General features: G+C 50.3%; 1 protein-coding gene across 8 annotated transcripts in view; it reads right to left on the reverse strand.

Moving 5' to 3' along the window:
* Positions 1-24501, reverse strand: part of ABCC6 (ATP binding cassette subfamily C member 6) — a 73930-nt gene that overhangs the window by 10882 nt on the left and 38547 nt on the right. For 3 of the 8 annotated variants that reach the window (NR_199642.1, NM_001171.6, NM_001351800.1), the window contains 10 exon segments: positions 22358-22484; positions 21966-22142; positions 18352-18519; positions 17006-17180; positions 15465-15540; positions 12838-12958; positions 9200-9407; positions 5177-5487; positions 2547-2746; positions 992-1118 (listed from right to left, as the gene is read on the reverse strand). Coding sequence is in view for 4 of the 8 variants with exons in the window: in NM_001171.6 (NP_001162.5) it covers positions 992-1118; positions 2547-2746; positions 5177-5487; positions 9200-9407; positions 12838-12958; positions 15465-15540; positions 17006-17180; positions 18352-18519; positions 21966-22142; positions 22358-22484 (1690 nt within the window). In the remaining 4 variants the exon portion in view is untranslated. 8 annotated transcript variants of the gene reach the window in all.

The raw sequence follows: 24501 nt of genomic DNA on the forward strand, positions 1-24501 counted from the left end.
AGCTGTGATCACACCACTGCACTCCAGTCTGGGCAAAAGAGTGAGACCTTGTCTCAAAACAAAACAGCTGGGCATGGTGGCTCACACCTATAATCTCAGCATTTTGGGAGGCTGGGGCAGGCAGACCACTTGAACCTAGAGTTTGAGACCAGGTTGGGCAACATGGTGAAACTGTTTCTACCAAAAAAAAAAAAAAAAAAAAAAAAAAAATTAGCCAGGCATGGTGGTGCATGCTTGTAGTCCCAGCTAATTGGGAAAGTGAGGTGGGAGAATCCCTTGAGCCTGGAGATGGAGGCTGAAGTGAGCCAAGATCATGCCACTGCACTCAAGCCTAGGCAACAAAATGAGATCCTGTCTCAAACAGCAACAACAACAAACCAAAACGAACAAAAACATATAAAGCTCTTAGAATAATGCCTCCTCCATAACAAATGCTTATGAGTGTATATATATATTTTTTTCATAGATGTCATGAACTGACATTACATACTGTTAATAGTTAACAAAAATTAGCCAGGCATAGTGGCTCACGCCTGTAATTCCAGCAACTTGGGAGGCTGAGGCATAAGAATCGCTTGAACCCAGGAGGCAGAGTTCTCAGTGAGCCGAGATTGCACCACTGCACTCCAGCCTGAGTAAAAGAGAGAGACTCTGTCTTCAAAACAAAACAAAAGTTAACAATGCACTAGAAATGTCCTCCACAGGATATGCTTTGTCTCAACTAGTCTTTATAACATCAGAAGTAGTGGGATTTCTGGCCTGTCTTTCCAAGGAGCACACTGACACTCCACAAGGAAAGACTCTTGCCCAAGGTTGCAAGTTCACCTTAGCTGAGTCTGGCTCTTGTAGAGCTGCGTGTCCCTCCTTGGTGGAGGGACTCCACACACCATGTTGGTTTGGACACAGGGTCTTCAAAGGTCCCACTAGCAGGGGTCCGACAGTCTCTGCCTCTGTCTGTCCCTCAAGCCCAGTTTGGGGATGTGGGGAGTACCTGGAGGGCAGCAGAGACAGAGAAGCCCACGAGGCCAGCACTGAGGTGGGCTTTGCTCAGCACAGCACACGTGGCAGCTGCAAACACCAGGCCATTCCCCAGGAGCTCCACATTGGCCGCAAGCCACCTGCAAAGGGAAGCGACAGCAGGGTGAGTGGTTACTCTCATCTGCAGGGAGATGCTTCTCTGGGCACAAGGACTGGTCATCACACCAGCTTTGTACACACAGGGGTCCCAGCAATGGCCTCCACATGCAACCCAGGCTCAGGGAGTAGAGGAAGATGACACCGTCCTGTCTCAACTAAGCCCACTTTAGGGTCTGGGGTACACTCGGTGTTCTGAAGAGCATCCCTGTGTGGCTGCTTTTCTGTCCCTGGAATTTGCCAAGCCATGTCCACCTGCCATTCCCCTGGCCTGAACCATGGCCTCCATGGTTTGGCTCTGTGTCCCCACCCAAATCTCATCTCAAATTGTAATCCCCACATGTGGAGGGAGGGATCTGGTGGGAGGTGACTGGATCATGGGGGCAGTTTTCCCCATATTGTTCTCGAGATAGTGAGTTCTCACAAGATCATATGGCGTAAAAGGATGCGGCAGTTCCCACCTCATGCTCTCCCTCTCCTGCTGCCATGTAAGACGTGCCTTGCTTCCCTTTCCACCATGATTGTAAGTTTCCTGAGGCCTCCCCAGCCACGTGGAACTGAGTCAATTAAACCTTCCTTTCTTTATAAATTACTCAGTCTCAGGTAGTTCTTTTTAGCAGTGTGAAGATGGACTAATACACAGCCCCAGCTGGCTGGGGACCTGAGATGAAAGGAAAAAGGACTTCACATGTATTGAGCACCTAGTGTGTACTTGACCCTCTCCACACTCTGGTACCAGACTGCTTGGATTCAAATCCTGGCTCTGCCAGTATTAGCTGTGAGACCCTGGACAAGTTTCCAAACCTCACTGTGCCTAGGATTTATCATCTATAGAACAGTTTCTTCCTGGTGAAGCTGTTAGCAGAATTAAATAAATTAATCTACATAGATTGCTCAGAACAGTGCCAGGCATGCAGTAAGCATGTTACAGGTCTTACCTATGAGTGTCTGTATTTAATCCTCATATCCACTCCATGAGCACGATCCCAGTTTGACAAATGAGGCTCAGAGAGGTTATGTAACTTGCCTGAAATCAACCAGCTGGTAAGTGGCAGAGCTGGGATTTGAACCTGTGTCTATTTGTGCTTAAAGCTTGTGTTCTTGTTCTTGCTTAGTACCTAAAGATGGCTGAGGATGCTTATATGGCTGCTTTATCACCAAGGCAAAAGAGGTTGATCCAGTTGCCTGGCAACAGAAGCTTCTTCCTGTACCCCCCGCCCACCTGCTGTTGAGAATCTCTCGGTCATGTTCCATCTGCCCACGGTGAGAACTGATAGACTGCCTGTGGGATCTAGCCTCAACTATGTCCCTGACTCTCTGGGTGACCTCTCTACCATACAATATGACCTCAGGTCTCACCCTCTAAGGATATGGATGAATTGCAAGGTCTTCTCTGCCCTGGCTCTTCCTACCTGTCAGCCACCAGTCGCGGGAAACTGATCCTCTGGCTTTCATCTACGCGAGCATTGTTCTGAGCCACAAAGGGGGCCTGGGTTCGGAATGCCCGGACCACTGTGCTGCCCTGGAACGTCTCAGCCATGTGGGAGCAGACAGACGAGTAGCTGGCTGACTCCAAGCGTCTCAGCTGGCATGAGCTAACCACATACAGGCTCTGAGAAGGATGGATGGGAGAGGGAAGAGGAGAAGCCACAGACATAGAGAGGTAGTTTCCAGAAGCACAGAGAGCCCCAAGTACAGGATTCCAGACCAGGATCTGTTAACAGCTTACTGTGTGACCTTGGGCTAGTTGCTTGCCCTCTCTGGGTTCTCATTTCCTTGCAGAATCAGAGTTCTATGGTTTTTTTGAAAATCACCTGGGGAGCTTCAAAAACCTCTAATGCCCCACCCCAGAATGACTGAATCGGAATCTCTGGAAATGTCACCTTGACTTTGGTGCTGTTTAAATAGCCTTCCAGATGATTCTAAGGGACAGCCAGGGTTGAGAAACCACCAATTTAGTTTAAGTGTCTCACTTCCCAGCACTGAGGCCGACTACTTCATTTACGGCTGGTCAGTGGGAGAACAAAACTGTAAGGGGCAATGAAGGCAGTTGGCCAAGTCAGTTTCACTCATGTAACCCAAGGGTTACATGCCAGGTGATGTGCAGAAAATATTCGTTATTTGGTTTGCAGCTGCAGGTTGGGTGCAGCTGGCAGACAGGCAGGCAGGGAGGAACTGAATTTGCTGAACACCCAACTGTATGTGCCAGGCTTTTCACACAGTGTCTCATTCATTGCAGAGTGAGCATTCGCGTCATTCATCAGTTAGTGGTGAGAACATCCAAGGCTCGGGGGATTCAGCAGCTGTCCTGAGTGCCACAGTAAGTGATAGAGCCTGGATTTAAACCCATCTTTGCTTGACTCTAAAGCTTGAGACAGAAACAGCCCATCCTCGGAGTCAAGTGAACTTAGAGAAGACCTAGGACAATTGTCGGGGACAGTGGTAGCCATGGGTTTTGTTGTTTGTTTTTTGAGATGGAGTCTCTCTCTGTCACCCAGGCTGGAGTGCAGTGGTGCAATCTCAGCTCGCTGCAACCTCTGCCTCCCGGGCTCAAGCAATCCTCCCGCCTCATCCTCCCAAGAAGCTGGGATTACAAGCATGCGCCACCACACTGGCTAAATTTTTGTATTTTTAGTAGACGGAGTTTCACCATGTTGACCAGGCTGGTCTCGAACTCCTGACCTCAAGTGATCTGCCCACCTCAGCCTCCCAAAGTGCTGTGATTAGATGTGTGAGCCACCATGCCTAGCCCTAGCCATGGTTTTTATCTGACTACCATGTTTTCTACTTCTGGTTTCCTGTGGGAAAGGGCTGGGTTGGGGTGCTGTCAATCATGGGACCTGATCAGAGAGGTGGTCACATGATGCAGCCTAGTGTATCAGAATCTACTATCCATTCAGTTACTGTGACGAGTTCAGAGATGGACACATGATCCACAAAGGGCCAATCAGAACCTTCCCTGGGATTAATATATGACTACTGAGCTGAAGAAACGTTTTTTGCATGTTGAGTTGCTAAGGTGAGATGATATGATAGCTAGTGGCCATAAGACCTGCCCTGGAAAGAGAGCGTGTACAAAATTAGACCAGAGGTAAGCCAGTGGTTCCTAAACATTTGTGTACATCAGAATTACTTGGAGGGTTAATTAAAACCTAGATTCATGGGCCGACCCACATAGTATCTGAGGCAGTAGTCCTGGGCTGGGGCCTAAGAATGTACTTTGCTAACTAGTCCCCAGGTGATACTACTGCTGGTCCTGGGGTCACACTTTGAGAAGCACTGAGTGAAGATATGGAGAGAGTCACTGTGTCCTGATGACAACTGGGCCCATGCCCCCAAGGAAATATAAGCCATTAAATTCTATTCTTTTGGTTAAGCTAATTTTAGTTGGTTGCTGGTCCCAGCAATTGAAAGAATCTAGCTTCATATAATAGCCTTTGAGACCTTGCAATGCCTTTTTGGCTTCCAGATAATTGGAGAGGAAGAAATTACGGCAGGATAAAAACATTACGCGTGAAAGGCTCTGGCCCTTAATATTTAACTGTGCCGTGGGGCACAGGGGCTCATGCCCTGTAATCCCAGAACTTTGGGAGGCCAAGGTGGGAGGATCACTTGGGGCCAGGAATTCGAGACCAGCCTGGGCAACACAGGAAGACACTTGTCCTACAAAAATAAATTTAAAAATTAGCCAGTCATGGTGGCACGTGCCTGTAGTCCCAGCTACTTGAGAGGCTGAGGTAGGAGGATCACCTGAACCCAGGAGTTCAAGGCTGCAGGGAGCTATGATCACCTATTGCACTTCAGCCTTGGCAGGAGAGCAAGATTCTGTCTCTCTAAAAAAAAGAACTTTGATGTGAACATTTAGAGACAGACACTAGTGGAGATACCAGAAAGACTGTAGTGTCCCTGTCCCTGGGAATTCTAGGAACAGCCCCTAGATGTCCAGCTGGGTGAAACCTCATATATGGAGTCTTCCCCAGAGACAGGGGACTGGCTGAGTTGACCTCAGCCGGTCCCGGAAGCCTCCCTGACCTCTCCGTACCTGAAACCCAGCGTAGAGGAGAAACAGTGGCAGGATGGCCACAGTGGCCAGTGGGGTAGCCACTGCCACCACCAGGCTGACCTCCAGGAGTCCAAAGGCGTACATCAGCAGGGACCGGAGTTTGTCTGGAATGTCCACGTCAACCGTGTCTGTCTCCTTGGAGAAGCGGTTTAGCAGGTGACCAATGGGTGTCCGCTCAAAGAAGCTGATGGGAGATCGCACCACATCCCACAGGAGCCTCTGGAAGAGCAACCTGGATGCCCGGGCCCCACCTAGGAGCACCGCAGCCATGGAGGCAAACAGCCCAATGGCTGGGGAGGGAGAGGAGGTAAGAGCATGAGGGCTGGAGACCCTCAGGAGCGGCCCACGGGGCCCTGCGCAGGTCTCTCCCGCTACCCCATGGTGGACATCTTATGGCTTGGCCACCCTGATTATTATATTTTTTTGAGACAGGGTCTCACTCTGTCACCCATGTTGAAGTGCAGTAGCATGATGATGGCTCAGTGCAGCCTTGACCTCCTGCACTCAAGCGATCCTCCCGCCTCACCCTCCGAGTAGCTGGGACCACAGGTGTACGCCACCATGCCGGCTAATTTGGGGTATTTTTGTAGAGATGGGATCTTGCTATGCTGTCCAGGCTGGTCTCGAACTCCTGGGATCAAGTGATCTGCCTGCCTTGGCCTCCCAAAGTGCTGAGATGACAGGCATGAGCCACTGCGCCTGTACCCTGCTTGTTTCTTGATGTAATGGGTTGAAGAGTGTCCCCCAAAATTCATTTGGGATGGGTCCTAAATTCAGTGACTGCCATTTATATAAGAATACTAGAGGATACTCAGAGACACAGCAGGAGATATGAAGATGGCGACACAGATGGGAGGGTGTATCTACAAGCCAAGGAATGCCAGCGACTGCCGGCGACCACCAGAAACCAGGAGAGAAGCCTGGGGCGTATTCTCCATCAGAACCTCCACGAGGGGCCGGGCACAGTGGCTCATGCCTGTAATCACAGCACTTTGGGAGGCCAAGGCGGGTGGATCACCTGAGGTCAGGAGTTCGAGACCAGCCTGAGCAACACGGTGAAACCCTACTAAACCCTACTCTCTACTAAAAATACAAAAATTAGCTGGGCGTGGTGGCAGGCACCTGTAGTCCTAGCTACTCAGGAGGCTGAGTCAGGAGAAACACTGGAACCCAGGAGGCAGAGGTTGCAGTGAGCCATAAGCCGAGATCGTGCTACTGCACTCCAGCCTGGTTGACAGAGCAAGACTCCGTCTCAGAAAAAACAAACAAACAAACAAAAAAACCAAAAAAACCTCCACAAAGAGTTAACACTGCTGACACCTTGATTTTAGACTTCAGGCCTCAGAACTGCGACAGAACAAATTTCAATTGTGCTGGGCTCCCAAGTTTGTGGCAACTTGTTTGGCAGTAGCCCTGTGAGAGAAATGCACATCCTTCCTCCCAGTGCTAATCTGTATGCCTGGGGTGGGGCTAACTTCTCCTCTGGGGTGGGGCAAATTTCACCCATGGCCAATCCAAACCACTGCAGTTGGTTCAGGGATGAACACATAACCCAAGTCAGGCCAATGACAGGGAGACCTGGGACTTCACTAGAACTTTTGGAAAAGTGGTACTTGGTTGTTGGAGGTAGCCAAGCTGGAGCCGTGGAATATCATCTTACTGCCAGGGGGAGCAGCTAAGCTGGACAGGAAGCTGTCACAGAGGAGGGAAATAAAGCGATTTCTTGTTTGGACCCCTACATCCAGCCATACCTGAAGCCAGAAATCTAGGGATACTGGTCCCAAGAGCCAATCAATTCTCTTGTTGCTTAAACACTTTGAATTGGAGCTGAATTTGTTTATTTTCAGACGGAGTCCTGCTCTGTCACCCAGGCTGGAGTGCAGTGGTGCAATCTCTGCTCACTGCAAACCCCACCTCCCAGGTTCAAGCGATTCTCCTTCCTCAGCCTCCCAAGTAGCTGGGATTACAAACACTGACACCATGCCTGGCTAATTTTTGTATTTTTAGTAGAGACGGGGTTTCACCATGTTCGCCAGGCTGATCTTGAACTCCTGACCTCAAGTGATCCACCCGCCTCGGCCTCCCAAAGTGCTGGGATTACAGGCATGAGCCACCGTATCTGGCCTGGAGCTGAATTTTTTATTCTTTGTATTCGAGAGTCATAACCAATTTCTCTCTCTCAGCTCCCATCTCTCCATCTTTAGGGGAGAGTAAGACTTGCCCTTAGCTATCAAATGAGGGATGGAAGTGGAAGGATTTTGAAAGGGCTATTTGCCACCCAAATGAGGATTTGGGTTAATTCCAGGGCTCGGCTGACTCTGAGAATCCCTAATTTCCTCTTGGTTAAGTAACCATTCGCCTTGAGTATTCCACTGTACATGCAGTTGTGGTGAGTAGGTGTACAGGTTCTTAGGACTAGAAGAGTCCTCAAGTTCAGGCCTGGCGCCCCCTATTTTACAGGGGAGGTCACAGGCTCACAGCATTTTGGTGATGTGGCCAATGTCACCCAGTGAATGAGGACGAATCAACATGAAAACGAGGCAACTGTCCTTTAAAGATGAAGCCAGGCCGGGCGTGGTGGCTCATGCCTGTGATCCCAACACTTTGGGAGGTTGAGGCGGAGGATTGCCTGAGCCCAGGAGTTTGAGACCAGCCTGGGCAACACGGCGAAACCGTCTCTATCAAAAACAAAAATTAGCCAGCATGGTGGCATGTGCATGTAGTCCCAGCTACTCGGGAGGCTGAGGTGGGAGGATTGCTTGAGCCCAGGAGGCAGAGGTTGCAGTGAGCCGAGTTCGTGCCACTGCATTCCAGCCTGGGTGACAAAGCCAGACCCAGTCTATATATATGTGTGTGTGTGTATAAATAAGAAGCCAAACTCACATGTGCACTCCTGTTACTCCCTTCAGCCAGGCCACGTATTAAAAGGAGAAGAACCAGGGGTTGGGGACAGGGTGGGCGAGGCAGGAGAAGGGTGGGTGTGGTTGCAAAAGGGCAACACGAGAGCGCCTCGTGGTGAGGGGGTTGTTCAGTATCTCAACTGTCAACCATCGTGATGGATGCGAGAGACTGAACAGGGGATACGACTGCACAGAGGCAAACATGCGCACACCCACGTGCAAGCAAAACTGGGGAAATCACAATGAGATCCATAGGGCCGGGTGCGGGGGCTCACACCTGTAATCCCAACACTCTGGGAGGCCGAGGCGGGCAGATCATTTGAGGTCAGGAGTTCGAGACCAGCTTGGCCAACATGGTGAAACCCCATCTCTACTAAAAATACAAAAATTAACCAGGCTGCACACTTGTAATCCCAGCTTCCAGCTACTCAGGAAGCTGAGGTAGGAGAACTGCTTGAACCTCGGAGATGGGGGTTGCAGTGAGCCGAGACGGCAGCACTGCCCTCCAGCCCGGGCAACAGAGCAAGACTCTGTCTCAAAATAAAATAAACAAATAAATAAATAAATAAATAATTGAGATCCATGGATTGATGGGTGTCAGGATCCTTTGTGTGATACTTTACTATCAGTTTGCAAAATATCACCAATGGGAGAAACTGGGCAGACTGTTCAAGGTAGCTGGCTGCCTTATTTCCTAGAACTGCATGTGAATCTACAATTATTTCAAGAAGAAGTCTTTCCATTTTTGAGGAGGAGAAGAAGGAGTGATAGCGGTGATGCATTTGTTAGGGAGGGTCTGGCTCTGTCTGGAGGTTTGGGGGCAGGCACTGAAAGCCACCAGCAGGCAGGCCTTGCAGACGCCTTCCGCTAGTGGGGAGGGACTGGGAGAGGTTCTGAAGCTTCCAGAAAAGGAGGGATGTGCCCTGTCCTTCCCGTTCCCTCCAGCCTCATCTTAAGGACGCAGATCTTTGCCTGGACCCCAGACGTTTTGCACACTGTTCCAGGGGGACAGGGTGACCCAGGGAGGGGTGGGGTAAAGGAGTCCTGAGCACCCCTTGGTGCAGCTGGGAGGAGAGGGATGAGGAGGGCAGGTGAGGCGTACCTTGGAGACAGCCGAGGAGCCCGAAGATCCCGCCACGCAGGGCTGCCTGCGTCTGCTGCCCACCTACTGCAGGGTCGTCCGCCCACAGGCTCAGCCAGTAGCCCCGGCAGAAGGAGGCCACTTGCTGGCAGAGGAAGAGGAAGAGTGCGTAGAGGCAGAGGGGGGTGCCCACGGCACGCAGGTAGGCCAGGTGCACTGTGGCCTTCACCTGTAGCACACATGAGGGAGAGGGAGGCAGAGAGAGCCCCCAGTGGGAGGGGTGGGTTGAGGCAAGGCCAGGCGAGGCTCCCAGAAAACATGCCCATGGCAGATGGGACCACCACGCAGACCTCACTGGTTCTCCCGCTGTGCCTCCCACCAGAAGCACCATTTCCCCGACAGGCCCCAGCCAGCCTTAGAACCCCCATCTCCTATACAATCCCCAGGGAGCTAGTATTAATATTTTTTCTTTTGTTTTTTTTTTGAGGACAGGGTCTTGCTTTGTCGCCCATGTCACCCAGGCTGGAGTACACTGGCATGATCATGGCTCACTGCAGCCTTGAACTCCTAGGCTCAAGTAATCCCCCCGCCTCAGCCTCCCGAGTAGTCAGGACTATAGGTTTGTACCACCATGTTTTGTTAATTTTCATAGTTTTAAAGAGATGGAATCTCGCTGTGTTGCCCAGGCTAGTCTCAGACTCCTGGCCTCAAGTGATCCTCCCTCCTCGGCCTTCCAAAGTGCTTGGATTACAGGTGTGAGCCACCACACCCAGCTAGAAGGGTTTTCTTGAACACCCACCATAGGTCAGGCATGTGTCTCTCCTTATAACAACCTCCATTTCACAGATAAGGAAACTGAGGCACAGAGAGGTTCAGCCACTGGCTTAAGGTCCTGCTCCTACAAATCTGAAGTTCTCTGCACAGCTGCAGCCAGACGGGACTGTTGAAAACATTAATCTAATTATATCTTGTCGTTGGCCTGTCCATGGCTATCTCTTGCTCTTAGAAGAAATCCCAGCCAGGAGGGGTGGCTCATACCTGTAAGCACTTTGGGAGGCCAAGGCGGGTGTGTCACCTGAGCTCAGGAGTTTGAGACCAGCCTGGACCAACGTAGTGAAACCCCGTCTCTACTAAAAATACAAAAATTAGCCACGTGTGGTGGCAGGCACCTGTAGTCCCAGCTACTCGAGAGGCTAAGGCAAGAGAATCGTTTGAAGCCAGGAGGTGGAGGTTGCAGTGAGCTGAGATTGCACCATTACACTCTTCTCTGGGCGACAAGAGTGAAACTCTGTCTCAAAAAAAAAAAAAAAAAAAAAAGAAAGAAAGAAAGAAAGAAAGAAAGAAAGAAATTCCAAGCTTCTTATCTCGCCCCCACTCACTGCCTGCCAGCCTCATGGGACCCCTTTCTCTGGCACCCTAAGCTACTTCCCACCTCGGAGCCATTGCACCTGCTGCTCTCTCTGCCTGGAGCGCTCTTTCTCCTGCCCTTTGTATGACTGGTTCCTTCACACATTCTTTGGGGAAGCTCAAATGTCACTTCTCAGAGCATCCTGTCCATACCAACCATGGTAGGGTTTCTCAGTGGTCTCTATTTCATCATTCTTTCTTTTAAGAGGCAGGGTCTCACTCTGTCACCCAGGCTGGATTGCAGTGACATGATCATAGCTCACTGCAGCCTCGAACTCCTGGCCTCAAGCAATCCTCCTGCCTCAGCCTCTGAAAGTGTTGGGATTACAGGCATGAGCCACTGCGCCTGATCATTCTTATTTTCTTTATAGCACTTATTGTTATTGGACATAGCTTACTTATTAGCATAATTATTTACTCTCCGTCTATCCTCACTAGTGTCTAATCTCTACCAGACTTAGCCTGGCACATAGTGGGTATTGTGTACATGTTTGCTGGATGGATGAGAGGGTAGGTGGGTGAATAAATGAGCGGGTGGGTAGGTAGGTAGGTGTGTGAATGAGTGGATGAATGGATGGAAAGATCAATGAATGGATGAACAGCTGAACAGACAGATGCATAGGTGAGGGAATGGTTGGATGTATTGTTAGGTGGGATAGATGGATGGGTAAGCGAATGGGATGGATAAATGAGTAGGTGGGTGAGTGGATGGGTTGGACAGATAAATGAGTGGGTGGGATAGATGGATAAATGAGTGGATGGGATGGACAGATAAATGAGTGGGTGGGATGGATGGATAAATGAGTGGGTGGGATGGATAAATGAGTTGGTGGGAGGGATGGATAAATGAGTAGGTGGGATGGATGGATAAATGAATGGGTGGGTGGGTGGGTGGATAAATGGGTGGGTGGGATGGATAAATGAGTGGTTGGGTGGGTGGGATGGATAAATAAGTGGATGGGATGGATAAATGGGAGGGTGGGATGGATAAATGAGTAGGTGGGATGCATAAATGAGTGGGATGGATAAATGAGTGGGTGGGATGGATAAATGAGTGGGTGGGATGGCTAAATGAGTGGGTGGGATGGATAAATGAATGGATGGGATGCATAAATGAGTGAGTGGGATGGATAAATGGGTGGGTGGGATGGATAAATGAGTGGGTGGGATGCATAAATGAGTGAGTGGGATGGATAAATGGGTGGGTGGGATGGATAAATGGGTGGGTGGGATGGATAAATGAGTGGGTGGGATGCATAAATGAGTGAGTGGGATGGATAAATGGGTATGAGTGGGTGGGATGGCTAAATGGGTGGGTGGGATGGCTAAATGAGTGGGTGGGATGGCTAAATGAGTGGGTGGGATGGCTAAATGAGTGGGTGGGATGGCTAAATGAGTGGGTGGGATGGATAAATGAGGGGGTGGGATGGATGGATAAATGAGTGGGTGGGATGGATAAATGGGTGGGTGGGATGGATAAATCAGTGGGTAGGTGAATGGATGGGATGGATAAATGAGTGGGTGGGATGGATAGGTGGGTGGGTGGATGAGCATCTAGGTGGATGATGGAATGGGTAAGTAGGTGGGTGGAGATACATAGCAGTATAGAAGATGAGAAACAGTGTAAGCTTCAGACTCAGATTGGCCTAGATTTGAGTCCCAGGTTGTGTCCCAGGCTAGATATGAAAACACAAACAAGTCTCTTAACTGTTTAAGACTTCAGTTTCTTGGCTGGGCACAGTGGCTCACACCTGTAACCCCAGCACTTTGGGAGGCAGAGGCCAGAGGATCACTTGAGCCCAGGAGTTCCAGACCAACCTGGGCAACATGGCAAAACCCATCTCTACTGAAAATACAAACATTAGCTGGGCATGGTGGCACACGCCTGTAGTCCCAGCTACTTGAGAGACTGAGGTAGGAGGATTGCTTTAGCCCAGGAGGTCGAGGCTGCAGTGAGCTATGATTACATCACTGCGGTCCAGCCTGGGTGAGTGAGCGAGCCACTTTCTCAAAATCAAAATAAAATAAATTTTAAAAGAATTCAGTTTCTTTATGTCTGAAATAGACCTATCATATCTATTTTTTAGGGTGGTTGTGAGGATTAAGAAAATGAACATCTAGAATGCTACTGGCACATAGTAGGTGCTCAAGAAAGGTGAGTATCACTGCCAAGTGCTACATTTGGTGGGAAGACTTGGGCCCCTGGAGGTGGCAGCAGTGGGTGGGGAGGGGTGGGTGAAGCTGGTGGTTACCCTGCCGTATTGGATGCTGTCCTTTCCTGCTGGCCATCCTGCCCTGTCAGGGTCATCCAGAGGAACCTCTGTCTGGGCTTCTGAAGTGGTACGGTCCTTCTCAGGGACTGACTTGATGGACCTGTCATTTAGAGGAAATGAAGACAAAGTCAGTATCTCTCCCAATGGTGGGGTGTATGTGCCTAACCCTCAGGCCCACTGACAGCCACTGAGCTCTGGGTACACTCTGTACTCTTTCATTCATTCATTTATCTAACAGAATACTGACCAGATATCACACTTCCCTTCTTCCCATATGGTACCCAGCTAAATGCCATCTATTACCCCAGGGTCAAGCAAGCCCATTCTTCTGATGCCAATTCACAGGATGAACTTAACTTGCCCACCATTGGAACTCTGTTCTCAGAATTTTCTTTTTTTTTTTTTTTTGAGATGGGGTCTTGCTGCATTGCCCAGGTTGGTCTCAAACTCCTGAGCTCAAGCAATCCACCTGCCTCAGCCTCCCAAAGTGCTGGGATTACAGGCATGAGCCACCATGCCCAGCCTGTTCTCAGAATTTTTATTTTGGCTTAAGCTTTCGTGCAATTGTTTTGTTCCTACTGTATACCATCAGATTTGTCAGTCCAACTGGCAGAATATAAATTATGCACAATTCAGATGCTAAAGACTCTTTGAATGTTTTATCTGTGGATGAGTGGGCTGACTTAACCTCTGTGCCTCAGTTTCCTCAGCTGTAAAAATAGGAATATTATCTATCTATCCATCCATCCATTTATCCATTCATCTACATACCTGTATATCTACATATACATGTCTACCTACCTTCTATTAAATTGAGGTTAGCCCAAAGCTGCCTCCTTACATATTTTAAGTTTGGCCTAAAGGTTTTCCCCGTACATAGTGAACTGTAACCTAATTGGACTCAAACAGACTGCAACCTACTCCTGTGTCAATCACTGAGTTTCAGCCAATCAAAGGCAACCAACCGTTCAAACCATGTTCCAATAAAGCAAACGCTGAGCTGTAACCAATCCGGCTGTTTCTGTACCTCACTTCTGTTTTCTGTCCTTCACCTTCCTTTTTCTGTCTATTAATCTTTGACCCCGTGGCTGTACCAGAGCCTCTCTGGACGTATTCTGGTTCAGGGACTGCCCGATGTGCGGATCATTCTTTGCTTAGTTAACCTCTGTTAGCCAGGTGCAGTGGCTCACGCGTGTAATCCCAGCACTTTGGGAGGCTGAGGCAGGTGGAACACCTGAAGTCAGGAGTTTGAGACCATCCTGGACAACATGGCAAAACCCTGTCTCTACTAAAAATACAAAAATTAGCCGGGCCTGGTCACATGTGCCTGTAGTCCCAGCTACTCAAGAGACTGAGGCATGAGAATCGCTTGAACCTGGGAGACGGGGATTGCAGTGAGCCGAGATTGTGCCATTGCACTCCAGCCTGGGCGACAGAGCAAGATTCTGTCTCAAAACCCCCCCCCGCAAAAAACAAAAAACCTCAGACACATTAAATTTGCTAGAGGTTAATTTGGCACAATCTCGGCTCACTGCAACCTCCGCCTCCGAGGTTCAAGTGATTCTCGTGCCTCAGCCTCCCGAGTAGCTGGGACTACAGGCACATGCCACCACGCCGGCTTTTTTTTTTTAATTTACTTATTTTTTATTTTTAGTAGAGACGGGTTCACCATGTTGGCCAGGCTGGTCTCGAACTCCTGACCTCTAGCTAGTGATCCACCCGCTTCAGTTTCCCAAAGTGCTGGGATTACAGGTGTGAGCCACCATGCCCAGCCTTAATGTGTCTACTGGTTTTCTTTTAACATGACTACCTATCCATCTGATCTTACTTCAGATTCTTGTGCGCTGTGAAGGTGGTGGGATTTCTCAGTGTGTGTGTGATTGAGAAGTGCCCTCAGGGTGGCTAGCTGGGATGGGGGTCAGCCCCAATGGTCCCTGGGGACTGAGGCCCCTCAAGATCGCTGCCGCCCACCACCCCTGTATAGCAGGCACTTAAGCTCAGGCCATCTGGTATCAGTGGCCTGTTGTTCTGCTTCCCAAGACCCCTCTCATTAAGAGGGGAGAGTATCAGGCAGCAGGTCCTTCTGCTGCCGACAGCTCCACAGTGAGCCCAGCTGTGTCCTGGCTGGAGGGAGCTGAGAAAAGAGGGGACCGGAGGCCTCCTCCTGGCCCCTTGCCCACGTGTTCTGGCCAGCGTCAAGTGATGCTGTGCATACAGACCCAAGCCCTGTGCATAGCCAGCCTGTCAAAGCATAAGTGGCCAGGCCTGGCATGGTGGTTTACAGCTATGGGGAGGAACCAGTCCTGCCCTACTGCAGCATTCAGACAACTCCAGCAAGCTGGCCTCGGCCCACTTGAAGACATCCATCAATTGGAAGGCATATTGTTCATTCCATGAACTGGCCTTATAGGGGCCTAATCATCTTGGCTAACTGGACCAATTTTGGTAAATTATCCCTCAGCAGGGCACCATGGGGGGGACTTCAGCAGGTTCTCTATCCATAATGGTTTTGGTTGCCCGCCTAACTGCCCGAGATGCGGGTGGTCCCTTCAGCTACTTCAGCTTCAGCCTGTGCCCTTCTGAGTGTGGCACCATGGTGGACTCACCTCTCGCGTCTAAGCTCGGGCCTCCTGCCTGCAGAGGTGCCTCTGGGGTCCTTGGTGCTGGTCCCAGGTTCTGTTTCTGCAAGGTCAAGAGAGTCCTGTCACGCAACACGGCCCAGATACCCACTTTGACACCCACTGACTATGTGGCCTTAACCGCTCTGACCATCCATTTCCCCTGATCTGGCTCCTGCCACGTCTCCAGCAACCTCTCTCAACACCCCACTCTGAGTTCTTCCAGGAACATCCTTCAGGCATTCACTCACTCATTCATTTCTTCAATCAGTGATAACTGAGCACCTACTATGAACTTGAGGTTGGAAAAACAGCATTTAACACTGTACAAAGTCAAGTTACCTCTGTTTCCCCCAACAGCCTTGCTCAAGCAGTTCCTTGTGTCTGGAATGCTTTTTTCTGGCTAACTCTCACCTACCCTCAGGTACCATCTCCCCTAGGAAGGACACCTCCCCACCACTATCCCCCAGGTGTGGCCAGTAACTGAAAGCAAATCTGTAGTAGTTTAACCACAGACCTGTAAGCAACAAGTAACTGCTACTGTAAGCTGCTAGGATTTGGGGGGCTATTTGTTACACAGCATCATCACAGCAAAAGCTGACCAACACAAACAGGCAAGTTCTATCTTCAAGCTTCAGGACTGTGACATTGTGAATCAACACTTAAGGTTTTAACCAGGTTGGGCCAGTGCTAAGCAGATGTTCTCAGAAGAAGCAAAGCCTGAGATTGAGGGAGACCTGGATGTGAATCCTTGCTTTGTCATGAAGGGATAGTGTAGAGGGTAGCAATTAAAAAACACATTCTCTGGAATCAAGTTGCTTGGGTTCAAATCCCAGTGCTGCCACTTACAAGCCATGTAACCTGGGACTAGTTCCTTAACTTCTGGGCCTCAGTTTCCTCATCTGTGAAATGGAAATGATTCTAGTACCAGCCTCACAGGGGCATTATGTTGATTAAATGAGCTAACCTCTGTGATGTGCTGTTAGTTGCTACTTTTCAGTCATTGTGAGTGAGCTTGGCTTGGCAACTTTACTTCCAGAACCTTGCCATGTATCCAGCACACTGTTTTTCTGGATTATTAGAAACCCTAGCTAGCATGGTGTAGCTTGCTAGGCATCAAAGTCCTTCTTGGGCTGTCTCCATAGCAACTGCAAGCATAGACTCTGGAGCTGGACATACTCAAGTTCTAATCTTGTGACCTTGGGCAAGTGATTTAACTCTCTTTGCCTCAGTTTGCTCATCTGTAAAATGACAGCAATAACTTCACATGCCTCTGGGGCATGTGTGAGAATCAAATGAAATAGTGTATTTTTTACAGAAGCACTTAGCACAACCCCTGGCTCATGGATGATGTTATCGGCTATTCTTGGAGAAAGGTGACCTATTAAGAGAGCTGTCTGCTTCCAGGCCTAGGCCTGCAGACAGGGTGTGGCCAGAGCACTCCATTCATGCCAGTAGGACCCTTCGAGCCTTTTCCCCCAAGGGTGGCAGGAGCCAGGCCTGGAGAATCAGCAAAGCCCACCTAGTACCTCCTTCTCCTCTATCTCCTGGCTGTCTGGCTTGATCCAGAAGACACATGAGGGCCCCCTTCCTCTGCAGAAGCTCCTGGTAGGAACCCATCTCTGCGATGGCCCCATTTGCCAGCACTATGATCCAATCAGCCTGGGGCAGGATGTGGAGTGCGTGCGTCACGAGAATCCGTGTCTGGGCAGGGAAGGGGTAGAAGTTACACACATGTGGCCGGGTGCAGTGGCTCATGCCTGTAATCCCAACACTTTGGGAAGCCAAAGCATGTGGATCACTTGAGGCCAGAAGTTCGAGACCAGCCTGGCTGACACGGCTAAGCCCCATCTCTACTAAAAATACAAAAATTAGCTAGGTGAGGTGGCGCACACCTGTAGTCTCAGCTACTTTGGAGGCTAAGGCAAGAGAATCACTTAAACCTGGGAGGTGGAGCTTGCAGTGAGGCGAGATTGGACCACAGCACTCCATCCTGGGTGACAGAGCAAGACTCTGTCAAGAAAGGAAAGAAAGAAAGAGAAGAAAAGAAAGAAGAAAAGAAAAGAAACAAAGGAAGGAAGGAAAGAGAGAGAGAGAGAAAGAAAGAAAAAAAAAATGTACGGCCGAGCGCAGTGGCTCATGCCTGTAATCCCAGCACTTTGGGAGGCCGAGGCAGATGGATCACCTGAGGTCAGGAGTTCGAGACCAGCCTGGCCAACATGGTGAAACCCTTTCTCTACTAAAAATACAAAAAATTAGCTGGGCGTGGTGGCGGGCACCTGTAGTCCCAGCTACTCGGGAGGCTGAGGCAGGAGAATGGCGTGAACCCGGGAGCCGGAGCTTCCAGTGAGCGGAGATCGCACCACTGCCCTCCAGACTGAAAGACAGAGCGAGACTCCATCTCAAAAAAAAAAGAAAAAGAAAAAAGTTACACACATGTGCTTGGCCAGCCTCCTGAGCTGGGGGTTGGGGTGGGGGTATTGTCCCTGGACTCAGAGTGGGGACAGCTCCCCTTCTTGTGCTCCTGCCGCCTTTCTTGTAAACAGCATATCCAAATAGAGAAACAGAGGGGACTCCCTTAGCCTGTGTCTCAAAACAAGAAGACAAGGAGTACATCTGACCCTGGCCAATCATCCAAGGCAAAGCTGTAGTAGTTAAATCACAGATCCATAAGGAAGAAACACCTGCTGTTGTAAGCTGCTGGGATCTGGGGGTTGTTTGTTACATAGCATTGTCACAGCAAAAGCTGACCAATACAAAGAGGAAATTGGACTCAAGTGGAAGGGGGAGGTGAGATAAACTTGGGTTAGGACTGGATGCTAAGTGCTTCCTCTGCCTTTGCCCTGTACTGTCTGACACATGTTCCCAAACTTACTGTTCCCTGGAGTAGTCCACCAGGCCCAATGACCTGGTTGAAGACATGCTGGCCAACGTGGGCATCCAGGGCCGCCAGGGGGTCATCCAGCAGGTACACAGCTGCCTTTCTGTATACAGCCCGGGCCAGGCTCAGCCGCTGCTTCTGGCCTCCGGAGAGATTCATGCCCTGTGGCCACAAAAGGAACAGTGGCCTGAGTCAGCATCTACAGGGTGAAACTGGGGTGCCCAGGCTGTGGCAGGTCAGGGCACACCTGCCCATCAGGGTGAGGTACAGCTCAACATGCCTATTCCCTGGGGACAGGCCCAGCTTCCAAGGCACTCGCTCTCAAGCCAACAATGCCTCCATCCTTACCCGACCTCACTTCTCCACTTCCCAAGCACGCTTCCTGGAGGAGTTACCTACACTTCCCAATCCACTCTGTCTCCTCCTGCTCACTCTCTCTATCTCTTTGAGTCCAACTCTTGTTTCCCTTTCTCCACTGAGACCACCATCCATTTCCCTATTCCCTCATCCAGTGGCAGCTTTTCAGTCCTACTTTTGTATTTTAAATTTTAATTGTTTTCTTTTAGTTTTCATTGATATGTAATAGTTGTAACTATTCGAGGGGCACAAGTGGTATTTGGATACCTGTAGGGCAGTGGTCCCCAGCCTTTTTGGCACCAGGGACCAGTTTTGTAGAAGACGATTTTTCCATGGACCTGGGGGCAGGGGGATGGCCCGGGGGATGGTTTCAGGACGATTCAAGCACATTACGTTGATTGTGCACTTCTATTATTATTATTACTGCTGTTGTCGTTGTTATTATTGAGATGGAGTTTTGCTCTTGTCACCCAGGCTGGGAGTGCAATGGCATGATCTTGACTCACTGCAACCTCTGCCTCCTGGGTTCAAGCAATTCTCCTGCCTCAGCCTCCTGAGTAGCTGGAATTACAGGCACCCACTACCACGCCTGGCTAGTTTCTGTATTTTTAGTAGAGATGGGGTTTCACCATGGTGGCCAGGCTGGTCTCGAACTCCTGCCCTCAGGTGATCCGCCCACCTTGGCCTCCCAAAGTGCTGGGATTACAGGCGTGAGCCACTGCGCCCGGCCTACTTGTATTATTATTGCATTGTAATATATAATGACTCACCATCATGCAGTATCAGTGGGAGCCCTGAGCTTGTTTTCCTGAAACTAGATAGTCCCTTCTGGGGATGATGGGAGGCAGTGACAGATCATCAGGCATTAGATTCTCATAAGATCCCTCACATGTGCAGTTTACAGTAGGGTTTGTGCTCCTATGAGAATCTAATGCTGCCACTGATCTGACAGGAGGTGGAGCTCAGGCGGTGATGGGAACAATAAGGAATGGCTGTAAATACAGATGAAACCTCACTCGCCTGCCCTCTGCCCACCTCCTGCTGTGCTGCCTGCCCAGTTCCTAACAGGCCACAGACTGGTGCTGATCCATGGCCCGGGGGTTGGGGACCCCTGCTGTAGACAATATGTAATGATCAAATCAGGGTAACTGAGATAGTCATCACCTCAAATATTTATCTTTTGTATTGCGAACACAACCATCCTTCTCTTCTAGCTATCTTGAAATATACAAGTAAATGATCATTAACTATAATTTCCCTTGTGCACTATTGATTACTTTAACTTATTCCTTCTATCTAGGCCTTCTTGTCTTTCATTCATTCTTTTAAAACTTATTTTTATTTATTTTTGAGATGGAGTTCCACTCTGACACCCAGGCTGGAGTGCAATGGCTTGATCTCGGCTCACTGCAACCTCTGCCTACTGGGTTCAAGCGATTCTCCTGCCTCAGCCTCCCAAGTAGCTGGGATTACAGGTACGCCACCATGCCTGGCTAATTTTTGTATTTTTAGTAGAGATGGGGCTTCACCATGTTGGCCAGGCTGGTCTCAAACTCCTGACCTCAAGCAACCCTCCCGCCTTGGCTTCCCAAAGTGCTGGGATTACAGGCATGAGCCACCGTACCCAGCCATTCATTCATTCTTACATTCAGTCATTCCACTAATAACCACTGCCTCGTTATCATAAACCAGGCATGGTTCTAGGCTCTGGAGAAACAGCAATGAGCAAAACAAAGTTGCTGCTCTCTTAATGGATCCATCATTCTCATGAAGGGGACAGAGACAGGCAATCCATAAACAAGTAAGGCAGACAGCACATCAGGTGGAAAGTGCTATGAAGAATAAATAGTAAAGCAGGGGGAGCCAGGTTCAGGGGCTCACGCCTGTAATCCCAGCACTTTGGGAGGCGGAGCTGGGTGGATCACTTGAGGTCAGAAGTTCAAGACCAGCCTGGCCAACATGGTGAAACCCCATCTCTACTAAAAGTACAAAAAAAAATTAGCCAGTTGTGGTGGTACATGGCTGTAATTCTAGCTACTCATGAGGCTGAGGTGGGAGGATTGCTTGAACTACTCATGAGGCTGAGGTGGGAGGAATGCTTGAACTCAGGAGGTGGAGGTTACAGTGAGCCAAGATTGTGCCACTGCACTCCAGCCTGGGCAACAGAGCGAGACTCCGTCTCAGAAAAAAAAAAAAAAAAAAAAAAAAGAGAAAAAGCAGGTGCAGGTGTAGGGTGCACTAACAATAGTAGGGTGGCTGTGGTGGTAGATAAGGTGGTCAGGAAAGGCCTCTCTGTGAAGGTGATAGAAGTGAGGGATGAGCCCTGGGGACTCCTGGGGAGAGCTTTCCAGCAGAGGGAACAGCAGTGCAAAGGCCCTGGGGCCAGAGTGTGCTGTGGGGGATCAGGGAATATCACAGAGACTAAGGTGGCTGCAGTAAAGCTGAGAGGTGATGATGGGAGATGGGGCTAATGGATACCAGAGCCAGGTCACAGGGACCTTGCCAGGGATTGTCATGACTTGGGCTTTGTCTCTGAGGTAAATGGGGAGATCACCTGAGGTCCGGAGTTTGAGACCAGCCTGGCCAACATGGTGAAACCCTGTCTCTACTAAAAATATAAAAATTAGCCAGGTATGGTGGCATGTGCCTGTAATTCCAGCTACTCAGGAGGCTGAGGTGTGAGAATTGCTTGAACGTGGGAGGCGGAGGTTGCAGTGAGCCGAGATTGCATCACTGCATGCCAGCCTGTGCAACAGAGCAAGACTCTGTCTCCAAAACAAAACAAAAAACAAAACCACAAGTGGTGGGCTGGATTTGGCTTGGGGTCACAGTTTGCCAACCCCTGCCCAATCCATAGCTCCAGATGCATATATCCTGTTTCTTGGACATCTCTGTCCAGACCCCTTGGTGAGGCCCAGAGAGGGGAAGCAATTACACCAACATTACTCAGCAAGGCAGGGCAGAGTAAGACAGGAGTCTAGGTCTTCTCACTCTCAGTTGTCAGAGAGCTCCTCACTGCCAATCCCTGCCACAACTCCCTGCCTCTCTCTTTGTGTCTATTTCTGCTTATCAATTAGTGATTACGTATTGAGCACCTAGCACGTGCTTGACGCTGAGCTGAGCCCTTTTTCTCCGCTACTTCCCTAACCATTCCTCTCATTTCTCCATCATACTGCCCATGATGAGTCGGGGACCCAAATGACTCCCAACTGCAATGTCTCCCTGTCCCAAAAAGACCCCCAAACTCTCACCTGCTCCCCAATTGAAGTGTGGATTCCCTCAGGGAAGCTGTCCACATCTGGCTGCAGGGCACAGGCTTCTAGTACTCTCTCCAGCCAGGGTGGGTCCAGCTCCTGCCCGAAGCACACATTCTCTACCACAGAGGTGTTCTGCACCCAGGCCTCCTGGGGCACGTAGGCCACAGCACCCTAAAACACAACTTACTTTGGTCACAGGAGGATGATGGGGACAGAGGTGGGATAGGTTTTGAGGAGCAGTGGGAGCTGGGCTCTCAGTGGTGGGTGAGAGGTGGAGAGAATGAGTGAAAGTGAACTTGGCTGGGATGGGGAGGGTGGGAAGGCAGCGAGGAAGTGGGACTTTCAGGATGGGGACATCCTAGCAGACAGGCTGGGGGTGGCCTCACCTCGATGCTCACGAACCCCTCCACCTTTGACAGCTCCCCAAGGAGGGCGGACAGCAGGGAGGACTTCCCTGCCCCCACTGGACCGACAACAGCCAGCAGACAGCCCTGGGGCACCGTGAGGTTTATTCTGGACACGCAAGAGGGGAGACATGACCTTGGTTAGGGTTCAGCCCGCCTCTGTGAGGAAGGATGAGCCCCAGACGGAGCTGAGCTTTCCTGCTCTGGGAGTCTCCAAGAGGACCTGTGGGGCTGTTCTTTTTCCCAGTCCTTGTCTAGCTATTTGAGGAACTATCCTGTGCACATCTGTGCATGTACACATGCACACAAAGCGTGCACACATGCATGCACATTTGCACACTCATACAAGCATGCTAGCATGCACAGCAACACAATGTGGGCACGCATCCACACACACACAAGTGCATGCACATACCCAATCAATCCATGCTCACACGCATACATGTGTGCACACATGCACACCACGCACACACACACAGGGTTGACTATAGCCTGAGGGTTTCACCAGCCTGGCCTCCTGCCTTGGCTCTTGCGATAAATAGGCTCTTTCCTCCCTCCCTCCCGCTACTCTTGGTCCCGCCCCACTCCTGTCCACGTCCCACAGCCCATCCTCCACCCAGTGACCAGAGGGATCTGTTAAAACCCAAGTCAGATCGTGACACTTCCCAGCTAAACCCGCCAGCACTCCCATTTCACTCAGGGTCAAAGCTAAAGTCCTGACGATCAGGAATGACATCTCCCGCCTCCTTCCGCTCTGTGCCTCAGCTGCTCGGCCCTGGCCTTGCTGACCTCCTTGCTGTTTCTTGAACACAAAAGGCCAGTGGTTCTCACCAGGGGGTGACTGCATCCCCCAGGAGTCATTTGGCAAGATCTAGAGATATTTTTGGATGTCACAACCAGTAGGGGGTGCTGCTGGCATCTAGTGGGTAGAGACTGGGGTCAGCTAAACATCCCACAATGCACACGACAGCCCCCAACAAAGGAGTTTCAGCCCAAAATATCAACCGTGCTGAGGTTGAGAAACCCAGGTCCAGGCACTCTCCTGCCCCAGGACCTTTGCTGATGCCATTCCCACCGCCTAGAAGGTTCTTCTCCCAGGCCGGGCACGGTGGCTCATGCCTGTAATCCTAGTCCTTTGGGAACTGAGGCAGGTGGATCACTTGAGGTCAGGAGTTGGAGACCAGCCTGACGAACATGGTAAAACCCATCTCTACTAAAAATACAAAAATTAGCTGGGTGTGGTAGCATGCGCCTGTAATCCCAGCTACTCGGGAGGCTGAGGCAGGAGAATTGCTTGAATCCGGAAGGTGGAGGTTGCAGTGAGCCGAGATCATGCCATTGCACTCCAGCCCGCGTGATAGAGCAAGACTCCGTTTCAAAAAAAAAAAAAAAAAAAAAAAAAAAAAGAACAGCTCTTCTCCCAGACACTCCTTCCTTATGATCTCGGCTTGAATGCAAAGCCTTCCCTCGCTAGACATGCCATCGTACTCTGTTCCCTTGCTCTGGTTTTCTGTTTGGGCCTCACCTCTATCAGCATGTCACCCCACGAGAGCAGGGCCCTTGTCTGTTTCCTTCGCCCTATCCCCAATACCTAGAACAGAGCGTGGCCCATACCTAGTGCTCTATCGATGAAGTGAGTGAATGACAACCAATACAAATACTACCTGGGGCATATTCCTTCTCTTCTTAGGGAGTTTCAGGGCTGTCTGAGATTTTTGGCCACAAAGACCAAGCGATAGAGTTGGAGACTATAGATGATCATGACCTCGGACTGATACAGGAGGCACAGAAGTGAGCACAGCTGATAGGGCTGAACCTTGGGGCTCCTCTCAGCCAGCCCTCCCTTGGCATCGTCTTGGCCAGCCTGGGAGCACAGGGGTGTCTCCCCCTAATGGGGGAGGCTCAGATGCCCTGGTCCCCGTCTGCAGGAGATACTGGTCTATGCTGTGCAGGTCCCCACCTTCAGGAGGTAGAGATGTATCCTGAGAACCTCCCCGGCAGAGCCCCAGCCCAGCCAAACCCACCCTCCAGTCCCAGGCTGGAAACCTACACCACCTCTCAGGTGGGAGGCAGCAGGAGCCCCATGCATCTTCTCCCTAAAAACATGAGGCTGGTTACTACGGGTG

This window comes from Homo sapiens, chromosome 16 (genome assembly GCF_000001405.40).
Source record: "Homo sapiens chromosome 16, GRCh38.p14 Primary Assembly".
Classification (NCBI taxonomy): Eukaryota; Metazoa; Chordata; class Mammalia; order Primates; family Hominidae; genus Homo; species Homo sapiens.